Raw genomic sequence first — 12,598 nt, forward strand, 5'->3', positions numbered from 1 at the left:
AATAAATAAATATATCATGAGAATCTAATACAGAGAAAATGATGATAAAGAGAATAATTATACTATTATCAGTAATTGATAGTCATTATTATATTATTATTAATACTTTTTAATTAGTAATTATTAAGAGAAAAAGACTAGGGAATCTGAATCTCATTCACATTTATTTATTTATTTTATTTTATTTTATTTATTTTTTATTTTTTTTGAGACGGAGTCTCTCTCTGTCACCCAGGCTGGAGTGCAGTGGCACTACCTTGGCTCACTGCAACCTCTGCCTCCTGGGTTCAAGCGATTCTCCTGTCTCAGCCTCCTGAGTAGCTGGGACTACAGGCATGTGCCATCATGCCCAGCCAATTTTTTTTTTTTTTTTTTTGTATTTGTTGTAGAGACGGTGTTTCACTATGTTGGCTAGGATGGTCTCGATCTCCTGACCTCGTGATCTGCCTGCCTTGGCCTCCCAAAGTGCTGGAATTACAGGCATGAGCCACTGCGCCCGGCCATATTCACATTTACTAAAGTTCTAAAGACTTTATTGCCCATTACTACTGCTTTCTAAAACATTCTTGTGTTCCAATGTCAGGTTAGAGGAGTGAAAATACAACAGGTTCATTACCATGGCCTGTTAGGGAGGGTCAGTACTTACTGGCAATTCTGACTGGTTACTGTAATAAAAGACTTCATAGGACTTGATGTGCTGAGTAAGAAGAGTCCAGGAGACCCTCTGAAGGTCAGGCTCCGGGAGAAGGATTTGTAAAACAGTTTGCCTTGGTGAAGCAAAACAGCAAAACACACAGGAGGCATTATTTTACTAAACAGATATGTTTAGTAAATATATTAATCATTTCTGAATTAATTTCTTAAATGCACATTTTTACTTTATAGAGATGCAGATAAATCCCTCGATATGTTTGACGAGCAATTACATCCACTCACTGTATCACTTTTATTGAGGCCGTATTTTTCTCATAGACTTGTGTTTGTTTCACACTGAAGTCAAAGACATTTTTAAGTATTCTTCCCCATGCCATGTTGCATCTAATCGTCTTATTTAAGAACTGTTATAAAAAGGATGTGCTGGAATAAGAAATGACCTGCAGCTCTGGTTAATTAGTGAGCTAATGAGAGTAAATATATAATCCAAATAACAGAAAATGTATCTTTTAAAAAGATAATTGTCAGTAGCATCAAACAATAAACATTTTTGTAAATGCCTTTAACACATATACATGATTTCTGTGAATAGAAATAAAAAACAATGTAAATTTAAATAAATGGTGTACAAATTAAAAGTGTACTTCCTCAGGTACATAATAGCCACATGTGGCTAGTGACCGTTGTATTGAATAGTGCAACCTTAGAGCCTTATGGCTACAGAAAACTAAATGTGTTTTTTCAAAGTTTGTTGCAGAGGAGAATGAATTATTGTCAGTAAGTAAGACTTTAAAGCCTAAAAGTAGTTTACATTTTTATAGAATTCTATGGGAAAAAGAGTAGAAAGGAACATAAAAATTTTCTGAGCTTGAGCCCATTTTTTTCACTGAATGTTGATGACTATTGAATCATTATAGTATCTTAAGATTCCACTGTTCGTATTTTAGAAACTAAAAGACATCTCCCCAATCCAAATTGTTCTAAGTGACACACAGGCACAAGTATGAATATTGCTGTCTTAAGAATACTTCATTTTTTTTTCCAACGGATACTTACATCACATCCTTTCTTCTTTCAGCAAGAAAAGATGCCAAAGGAATACTTTGAGTATGTTCCTGAACACAAGTTTATTTACAGATTTGTCCATGTTCTTTTTAAAGCCACAAACCTAACAGCTGAATTTGCAATAGTAACTTTGGTAAGATATTTCTTATTTATAAAGCATTTTTAGAAGTTGGTACTTGTACACAGGGTATGGTGCTGTTTTTAAATAAAAGTTGGCTTCTGGGCTGGGAGTGGTGGCTCACACCTGTAACTTCAACACTTTGCGGGGAGGCTGAGGCGGGTAGATCACCTGAGGTCAGGAGTTTGAAACCAGCCTGGCCAACATGGCGAAAACCCAACTCTACTAAAATTATAAAAATTAGCCAGGTGTGATGGGGGATGCCTGTAATCCCAGCTAATCAGGAGGCTGAGGCAGGAGAATTGCTTGAATCCGGGAGGCAGAGGTTGCAATGAACCAAGATCTCCCCATTGCACTCCAGCCTGGGTGACACAGCAAAACTCTGCCTAAAAAATAAAATAAAATAAAAAAGTTTGCTTCTGAAATTATTATACAAACTTTAAGAGAAACTTATGAAAGCAAAGTAAATACACACATTCGAGTTGTATCATCATTACAGCTTAAAATGTTGCCATTGCGTTTTTCATAATAGAACCATTGCTATTAAAAGCAGCGGGAGAGATTTCTGATTTCCCCCCCACACATCAGTGCATATGAAGTGTACACACATGCAAGGCAGGCGGAGGTGTTGGGATGGGGAGCAGTAAGGAGACGGATTCCAGTGGAGCTCTGAGCTGAGTCCCAGGCTGCATTCCTCAGGCAGTTCTCATGCAGGCTGTGATTGACAGCTGCTGCCGTGTCGTCTTTGTTCCTTGGGCCATGAGTCTTAATCTACCCCTACTGATCACTTGTGCCTGCTTATGAAATTGCCCAGGAATGTGGTTCCAGTAGGCCTGGGACACAAGCTTTGCTCGTTAGTCTTCCAAGCCATAGCTGTTTCCTTACATTTACATCATCCCTACAGAATTCCTATTGTAAAAATGTTAATAATAAATTCTATTCAAATTGTTGAAATTGTTTTACCCCTCTTCACAGCCAACCTATAGAGGAAAGTCAACTGCATGGCTGGGAAGGAAAGAATACTTAGGTCAATACTTACTTATTTACCATTCAATTAGAGTTTAGGAGAGAAGGCTTCTGATGTGCACTTGAGTCAAAGCCCTCAATGGGTGCTGGACCAGACACAGGCCTTTTCGAGGAGCTGCAAGTCATTTGGAACTCTCAGCACATGCTGGAGGGAAGCAGGAGTGGTGCTTCCAGATTTAGACAGATAGATGATGCTGGGGGGAAAGCTGGATTGGAAAAGGGAGAGTTTTGTACTCAGGCTAAACTAGATGTGCCTTTTAGATAGCAGAGTAGCAGTGTCTAGTCATCATTTGGATATATGGGACTAGAGCATGAATTTGTGGTAGAGATGCAGAGTGAAGAGTAATAGCAGCTGTTCAAATGCAGAGTAAGTGTGTAGAATAAAATTGGACAAGCCAGGCATGGTGGGTTCATACTTTTAGTCCCAGCTACTTGGGAGGCTGAGCTGGGGGGGATTACTTGAGCCCAGTAGTTTGAGTCCAGCCTAGGCCACATGGTGAGAACCCATATCTTGAGAAAAGAAAACATAAAGCCAGGTGTGGTGGTTCGCCCTTATAATCCCAGCACTGTGGGAGGCCACGACAAGAGGATTGCTTGAGCTTAGGAGTTCTAGAATAGACTTGGCAATAAGGTGAGGCCCCATCTCTACAAAAAAAGAAAGAAATTAGCCAGCCATTATGGCACATGCCTGTGGCCCCAGGTACATGGTAGACTGAGGCAGGGAGATTACTTGAGCCAGGAGGTGGAGACTGCAGTGAATCATGATCATGCCACTGCACTGCAGCTCGGGCAACAAAGTTAGACCCTGTCTTAAAAAAGGTAAAGAAAATTGAGAGACGATAGGTCTGTAAGGACTTATAGTGAGTAAAGGACAGGCCCCCAGAGGAGTAGCTGCTAGAATGGGAGGAGGAAAAGCAGGAAAGGATAATAAAAGAGTTAAAAGATGCTGTGGTCACAGTGCTGAATGCTGCCGAGAAGTGACTCATTCCATAAACACTCACTGGATACTGACTCTGTGTCACTCTTCTAAGTGCTGGGGTAGAAGGGAGGACAGGTTGAATACAGTTCTTGCCTTTATGAGCTTATGTTCTAGTGAGACACAAGTAGTTTTTCAGGTAGTGTCAAATAGCAGGAAGAGGAAGCTGGATAAAGGGATTCAGAGTGTCGGGGTGCTCAGTACTTTAGATAGAATGATAAGGAAGAGTCTCTCTAGAGAGCCAACATTTGAACAGTGACCTGCCCAAAGCAACGAAGGGAAGGAGTGCTGGCATTACAGGCAGCAGAGACAGGAATGTGTTTCACATGTGTTCACAGAACAAACAGCAAGGTGACCAGTGTGGTCAGAGTGAGGAATAAGGGAAGCAGTGGAGATAAGGCCACACAGGCAGGGCCACAGCTCACAGGGCCTTTTGGCTTCAGGCCATAGGAAGATGTTAAGGTTTTATTCCAGTTTGATAGGGGACTCATGTAGATCTTGAGCAGGGAAGTGAGTGCTGTTAATAAAGAGGTTATGGTGACTGCTTTGGGGAAAGTAGGCCATGGTTGGGAGGCAGATTGGAGGCAGAGAAGAGGGCTAAAAAGCAATTAGAGTGATACAGGTGAGCAATGAGAGATTGTGGCTCATAATCAACCCAGGCAGACTACCAGTGAAGGCAGACATAACAGGCATTGGAGACATTGCAGAAGGGTAACTCAAATGCAGGTATTTGGCCCCAGCAGCTAGGCAGATGGCAATGTCCTGTACAAGATTAGAAAAGGCTTGGGGGGTTGACTGTTGGGCTGGAGACTTCCAGTTTGTAAGTGTGAAGGCACCAGAAACCTAGGCAAGAGAAGTGTTGGAAGAGTAATGTCAGTGGGGCAGGCAGTGTACATTAAGGAGAGATGGAAGATGAGGAGCTGGCATGAGGGCATGGTGCTGTGAGCACCAATGAGATGACACAGCTGGAGGAGTAGTGGGGAGTGAGATGGGAACAAAGGAAACACAGTTAGATTGGGGAAAATCGCTAGTAGAGAGGCACAAAATCTTCAAAAAGAGGTGATTGTAGGAACAGTGTTCTGCAAAAGTGGAATGGGATCAACTGCACTGAGAAAAGTTGGCATCAGTGGGGAAAACATTTCTACATCTGAGCTGATGATCATAACCTTCAGACAAGAAATAAACTCGTATAAAATAAACTTTTTCCCTTTGTTTTGACATAAAGAGTTCAGGTAGCTCGCAGACATACTCTTCTGCAGAGCACCCTCTGAGGTAACACCTCCTCACAGCTCACCTTTAATCTTTACTCAGCTGTTCACTTTGCCCAATTCTTTGTAAAGCAGATGTTTGATAAATGTAAACTATCAAACATGTGCTAATTCATGAGATTGTCTCACAAACTACTCGGCAGGCTTAGAGGAATCCCAGGGATGCAGAAACTGGCAGCTGTTTCCACCTTTAAACCAACAGAATTGACTAAGTTGCAGGATGTAAGAGAGAATAAATTTTCATGAAGTGATCATGAAGATGGGAAAATAGGGGCTGAGAGGAGGGCCATTCTTTTATACACATGTGTTTTTTATCAAGCAACTGAATACTGAGAATGTTTTACAACCCCTGAGACCTGCACCTGCCATGCTGCTCTGCACAGCGGCCACTGGGAGGCTCTCTTGACCAGCAGTTTTTTAAGCTAGCACCACAAAAGGGTTAGTGTTTGTGAAAAGGAGATTAACATTTGCTCACTATCACATGGGTTTTATATATTCAAGCTTGACATGCCTGTAGAATTTCTATCTACCTCCCAGCTAAGTATGAGACATTACATTTGGTAGGCACTTGAGTATTTCCTGAACAACTTCAATCCACACTGGTCCTTAGTGTGTGCTGCCTTTTATGAGTGTGAAGATGATGACACTGCCTCTCTTCATGGTGGCCTTGGCTGACATATGCAGGCATTCTTGTCACCGAAATTGGGCTGGAAATTCCCATAGGCAGAGTAGGCAGCAGAAGTATCTGACCTATGATTGTAATGTGGTCTCTTGCTTTGCCTGACCAAGCAAAGTATGTAGAGCATAAGAATAAAAGACACTTTCTGGTCAAAACCAGAAGAAATCTGTCATTCAAAAGAGTTCTTATCAGAGCACTTAAAGTGAACTAAATCAAAGGCCAGTGCTCTATTTTGCATATTTACATAGAAAGACTCTTAAGTTATGTGGAGATAGACCTTTGCCCGACCAACTGGAAGAGATTGTCATGGGAGCCATTCTTCTCACCTCCAAAGTTTGGAAAGATGTGACTATATGGAATAGGGAATACTGCAGGCTCTTTGTGAACACTAGCATTAAAGACATGTGAGTTTCTAAGGTTTTTGTGAACTTTCTAACCATTTTCATTACCTTATTTGCTCCCATAAATGTAACACTTTAAGACATATTTTTAAAGGCTACAGTGTGCAGATAAGGAAAACACATAAAACCACATACTTCTTTATATCCAGCTTTAGTATAAAAGTTCATATCTTTTCACTGTTAATGGGTAGGTCTTGGTGAGTTACTGTTGTAATAATCTGCTCTGCTCATACATGGAAAAGTATTTTTCTGGTGGTTTTTGGCAAATACTTCACAAGTGCACTACCAGAACACCATAGCACAGTAAATATCTTTATGGCTTTTTAGAAGCTGTCTGTAAGTTCCAGTCTCTTTTTAAGGGACACATGTCTGGCTGTTGAAATAATTGGCCACTCTTAAGGTCTAGGGCCTCTGGACTATGGAGAAGTTATAGCCTCAGCCTCAGTCACACATTGTGTATTTGCTTTTGCTGATGTTTTCTCCCTTATATTTAAATGTCTGTTTTTTTATAGAAAACTTGAGATGCAGAATAGCCACAGATCCCTGTGCCCTCCCCATTAGGAGTGTTGCATGTGTTTAGAAATTGGGTTGATGAGTTTGCTGCTCCAGTGTTTCCTTGAGGCAGTATGCAAAAAATTGCCCAGGCATCACACAATGCCCACCACACTCAAGAGGCTCCTGGGGCACTCATACAACCACAGCAGCAATCTGTGGGACTTGAGTTACCAAGGAGAGTGCGAGAAATCTTGCTGAGTCATGGGGTTGCTCATAGACGGTGCCAACATGATACTGAAACATGGGCTTCATGGGGGCTTTCTTCCAGTCTGGCCTTACGACTGTTGTAAAGGGAAGAGCCTTGGAGCTTGTAAGCAGGGTGAGCTAGGGAAGCATTTCCACCAAACACTCTAGTAATGTCCACAGGACAGTGAGAATAGCTATATGGGTGACACTTAAGAAAATATAAAGGGACACCTGTTGCTGTCGTTGAGCAGCATATGAAGAACAATATCATGACAGGCAGTGGCAAGAGTTTGTTTTTTTACATTTGCCCGTTACTCCAGATAAGACTGCCATCCAGAATGTATGTGATCACAAAAGTAGAGCTTGATGGCTGATTAGAAGTCTCTGCCAATTGTTCTCCTCATAAGAATAACAAATTGAGTAACTATCTAAATAAAAAACACCTTTATTAGAACTAAAAATAGCTAAATAATTATAGTACCTGGTTTAAACTTTGTATCACTGAAAAAGGCAGTGAACACGGTAGGAAAGACAGTCTTGAGTTGCTGATGCCAGCCCTCCCTTATGTCCTAGCATTGGCCATGTGACAAGAAGAGAATCTGCATGCTTGGGGAAGGGAGAGCACAGCAGTGTGAGACTTTGCATTGAACTCAGTGCTGCGTTGTCATAGCAGAAAGCAAAACTGGGCTGAACTCAGCCAGTGCCCACCCACGGATGGAACATTTCTAGCCCTAGCCTGAAGGGAATCACCCATCCCAGTGGCTGAAAACTGAGTTGTGGAAAGCCTCACTGCTGTGGGATAAAGTATTCTGGGGTCCTTAATAAACTTGAAAGACTGTCTAGGCCACAAGGACCGCAACTCTTAGGCAAGTCTGAGTGTTGTGCTGGGCTTGGAGCCGGTGTATTTGGGGGGCATGTGACCTAGAGAGACAGCAGATGGGGCAGCCCAGGGAGTGCTGTACCACCCCTCCTTCAATCTTAGGCAGTGTAGCTCACAGCTCTGACAGAGACCTCTTTCTTCTGCTTGAGAAGAGTAAAGAGTAAAGAGGACTTTGTCTTGCAACTTGGATACTAGCTCAGCCACAGTAGGAGAGGGCACTGGTCAGAGTCATGAGGCTCCCATTTTGGGTCCTAGCTTTTGGATAATACCTCTAGACAAACCCTGGGCCAGAAGGGAACCTGCTGCCTTGAAGGGAAGGAATCAGTAAGGGCAGGATTCATCACTTTCTGACTAAAGAGCTCTTGGACCCTGAATAATCAGCAGTGGTAAGCAGGTAGTACATGTCATGGGTCTTTAGTGAGCCTCAGAGATCTGCTGGCTTCATGTGTGACCCAGCACATTCCAAACTGTGGTGGTTATGAGGAGAGACAACTTCTGCTTGAGAAAATCTGAGGGAAGAGTACAGAGGACTTTGTCTTGAGCTTAGACACCAGAGCAGCCACAGTGGAGAAAAGCACCAAGTGGGCTGTTGGGGTCCCTGATTCAGGCCTTGGCTCTTGGATGGCATCTCTGGGCTTTCCCTGGGCCAGAAGGGAGCCCACTGCTCTGACGAGTGAGTTCCAGGCCAGGCAGCATTCACCACAAGCTGACTGAGAGCCCTTGGGCCTTAGTGAACATCAGTGGTGACCTGGCAGTACACCCCAGGGGATTGTGATGCTGGTGAACATGGGGACAGACTACTCTGCCTGGGTAATGGGGAAGGAAGAGTGGAAAGGTGTTTGATGGTTTTAGTGCCAGCTCAGTCACAGTAAAACAGAGCACCAGGTGGATTTCTAAGGTTTATAACCCCAGCCCTAGCCCCCAGACAGCACCTCTGAACCCATCCAGGGGCCGGGGGAACTTACTACACTTAAGTGAAGGACAGAAGGTTCTCTGGCTTCACTACCTGCTAATTGTAGAGCCTTGGGGCTTACTGCAAAATAGCTGGCAGCCAGGGAGTTGTTACAGTAGAGGCCTTGGGCAGTAACAGTGCTGTGTGGGCTTCAGATCAGACCCAGTGCTGTCCTAGGTGTAGTGGCCACAGGGGTGCTTGTATCACTCATCTTCGAACTCCAGAAAGCTCAGCACAGAGAGACTCTTTTTGTTTGGGGGAAAGTAAGAGAAGAAATGAGTCTCTGGCTGCTAATGCAGAGAATTCTTCCAGATCAAATCCGAGATCACTAATGTGCTACCTCTACATATCTGCAAGAACCAATGACATTCTTCATAGACATAGAAATAGAAAAGACAATCCTAAAATTTATATGGAACCACGAAAGACACAGAATATTCAAAGCTATTCTCAGGAAAAAACGAAAAAAACAAAACAGAAGGAGTCACATTGTTTGAATAGAAATGATACTCTACAACTATAGTAACCAGAACAGCATGGCACTGGCATGAGAACAGACACATAGACCAATGAGACAGAAGAGAAAACTCAGAAACAAATCCATAAGTCCACAGTGAACTCACTTTCAACAAAGATGCCAATAATACACAATGGGGAAAGGATGGTGTCTTCAATAAATGGTGCTGGGGAAACTGGATATCCATATGCAGAAGAATGAAACTAGTTTTTCTCATCTTATACAAAAATCAAATCAAAATGCATTGAAGATTTAAATTTAAGACCTCAAACTATGAAACTAAAATAAGAGATTAGGAATATTCTTGAAGACATTGGACTGGAAAAAGATTTTTTAATACTCCATAAGCACAGGCAGCCAAAACAAAAATGGGCAAATGAAGTCACATCAAGTTAAAAAGCTTATGCACAGCAAAGGAAACAACAAAGTGAAGAGACAACCCACAGACTGGGAAAAGATATTTGCAAACTATCTGGATTAATTACCAGAATATATGAGAAGTGCAAACAACTCTGTAGGAAAAAAACTAATAATCTGATTTAAAAATGGGCAAAAGATCTGAATAAACATTTCTCAAAAGAAGACACATTAGCTGCTGATGGAAAATGCTTCTGGTTCCTGCTACAAGGGAGGCCTGGATGGGAAAATTACCTGTGCTCAGGAGGTCAAGGCTGTGGTGAGCTGTGATTGTGCCACTCTCCAACCTGGGTAATAGGGTGAGGATCTGTTTCAAAACTTTAAAATATACATACAAATGGCAAACAGATATACGAAAAGATACTCAACATTATTAATCATCAGAAATTCAAACCAACACTACAGTGAGACATCCATCTCACCTCACTTAGAATTACTTTTATCCAAAAGACACGCAATAACAAACACTGGATAGGATATGGGGAAAAGGGAACAGTCGTACACTGTTAGTGGGAATGTAAATTAGTACAACCCCTATGGAGAACAGTTTGGGGGTCTTCAAAACTAAAAATAGAGCTACAATATGATCCAGCAATCCCACTGCTGGCTATATACACAAAAGAATGGAACTCAGTATATCAGAGATAAGAGATACCTGCACTCTCATGTATGTTGCAGCACTATTTACAATAGCTAAGATTTAGAAGCATCCCGAGTGTCCATCAACAGATGAGTGGATAAAGAAAAGGTACATGTACACAATGGAATACTATTCAGCCTTAAAAAATAATGAGATTCTGTTATTTGCAATAACAACATGGATGGAAATGGAGTATAATGAAATGGAGTATTAACTCATTATGTTAAGTGAAATAACCCAGGCACAGAAAGACAAACTTCCCATGTTATCACTTTTTATGGGAGCTAAATGTTGAAACAATTTTACTTGTGCAGATAGAGAGTAGAAGAATTGTTACCAGAGGCTGGTAAAGGTAGTATGGGGGATGGGGAGTAAGAAGTAATTGTTAATGGGTACAAAAATGTATTTAGAATAAGATCTAGTATTTGATAGCGCAACAGGGTGACTATAGTCAGTAATTATTTAATTGTACATTTAATAATAATGAAAAGATTATAATTAGATTATTTGTAACACAAAGGACAAATGTGTGATGGATACTTCATTTACCTTGGTAGGATTAGTACACATCGTTGGCCTGTATCAAAATATCCTATACACCCTATGAATATATAAAGCTATAATGTATGCACAATTTTTAAAAAAGACTATCATTCGTCCAGGCTCGGTGGCTTACGCCTGTAATCCCAGCACTTTGGGAGGCCGAGGCAGGCGGATCATGGGGTCAGGAGATCGAGACCATCCTGGCTAACACAGTCAAATCCCATCTCTACTAAAAATACAAAAAATTAGCCGGGCATGGTGGTGGACACCTGTAGTCCCAGCTGCTTGGGAGGCTGAGGAAAGCCGTGAACCCAGGAGGCGGAGCTTGCAGTGAGCCAAGATCTCACCACTGCGCTCCAGCCTGGGTGACAGAGCGAGACTTCATCCCCCGCCCCCCCCCCCCCCCCGCCAAAAAAAGGCTATCATTCAGAATTACTACACTGTGCATAATATACAATTGAAGTGAGGATGTTGTGACTAACAAAAGACTAGTGACTGTTGGTTGCTGTTGAAATGGCTGTTGGTGAAAATGACCACTTTGCTGATAGTATAAACGAGTGATGATGGTGATGTTGCTAGTAGCCATTTTAGCAAAAGATGTGACAGAAAATTAATTTGAAACAGAAGTACTTTGAAAGTTGCAGACACTAAACTGACTTTGATCACTACTGTCATCAGTCTGCAGACTGATTTCTCAAAGGAAACAAAATTTGTCATTATGAACACTTAGCTTTGCTATAATTGCAGCTAAATTATTCTCAAAACTTGCAACTAAGCTGGCTGAGCTCTAGTTGTAGTTACAAGGTCAGGGAATGTGCAAGTTCTCACAGACGTGAGCTCCAGGGGCAGTGGTGTCAGAGGCCTGCTGTAAGAAACCCAGTTCTACACAATGCTGTTTGTGAATGTGGAAGCATCAGAAGCTATGCTCTGCAAAGGCTGCTTTTGTTTATGATCTTTGGAAACTGGAAAGCATTACAACAAAGTGTTGAATATACATTTACCTTGTCTCCCTGCTGTTGATTATGCATAATAATCTTGTTTTGACTGTAAATTGGACCATTTAAAAATGAGTGTCTATTGGGTTTTTCTTAAAACTCTTCAACATCTTCATGTCTTGTTGGAATATATTTTCCTTCAAAATATCAGTTAAACTGAGCAGCTGCTCTTAAGAAAATGTGCTGTGCCTGTAAAGGGTATGCTGTTCAGTCATTTAAAAAAAATAAACAAAAAAAACTAAGAAGATCCATATCCTGTAGGCCTATGCTTATCTTCAGTAACTAAACCTCTATTAATAGGTGTAATAATTTAATAAAATATTGTATTTCTACACAGTCAAAATGTGTTCATGGAAAAATGTGAGATAATATAAAACAAATAAATACAAAAGTCCTGATTAGCTGATTATTAAAACATTGTCTGATTTACATTTCTATAGCCTTACGGTCATATGAACAGGAAATTGATGTTGGAAATAGTTTCAGATGGGTTTTCAGTTAAACAGATGAGAAAACTACATCTCTGCTCATATTTTAACTGCTCTTCCAGAGAACATCAAACATTTGTTGACTTAGCCAGTGGATAAGATATTAAAACTTTAAAACCAAGAAACTAAATATGTTGTTCAGGTATTGATTGTTTTTATACAATTAAGTCTTTACAGGGATTACTGTGAAAGTGGTTCTATATTATTTTATATTCATTTGTTTAAACATTTAACAAGA

The 12,598-nt window shown here is 41.1% G+C and overlaps 1 long non-coding RNA gene across 2 annotated transcripts in view; it reads left to right on the forward strand.

Moving 5' to 3' along the window:
* Nucleotides 1–12,598, forward strand: part of LINC02987 (long intergenic non-protein coding RNA 2987) — a 231,539-nt gene that overhangs the window by 175,242 nt on the left and 43,699 nt on the right. Inside the window, exon 6 of one of the 2 annotated variants that reach the window (NR_146734.1) lies at nt 1,733–1,852. The exons of the other annotated variant lie outside the window; for it this stretch is intronic. This is a non-coding gene — a long non-coding RNA (long intergenic non-protein coding RNA 2987). The remainder of the gene's footprint in view (nt 1–1,732; nt 1,853–12,598) is intronic. 2 annotated transcript variants of the gene reach the window in all.

Source organism: Homo sapiens, chromosome 19, assembly GCF_000001405.40.
Source record: "Homo sapiens chromosome 19, GRCh38.p14 Primary Assembly".
NCBI classification, from domain to species: domain Eukaryota; kingdom Metazoa; phylum Chordata; class Mammalia; order Primates; family Hominidae; genus Homo; species Homo sapiens.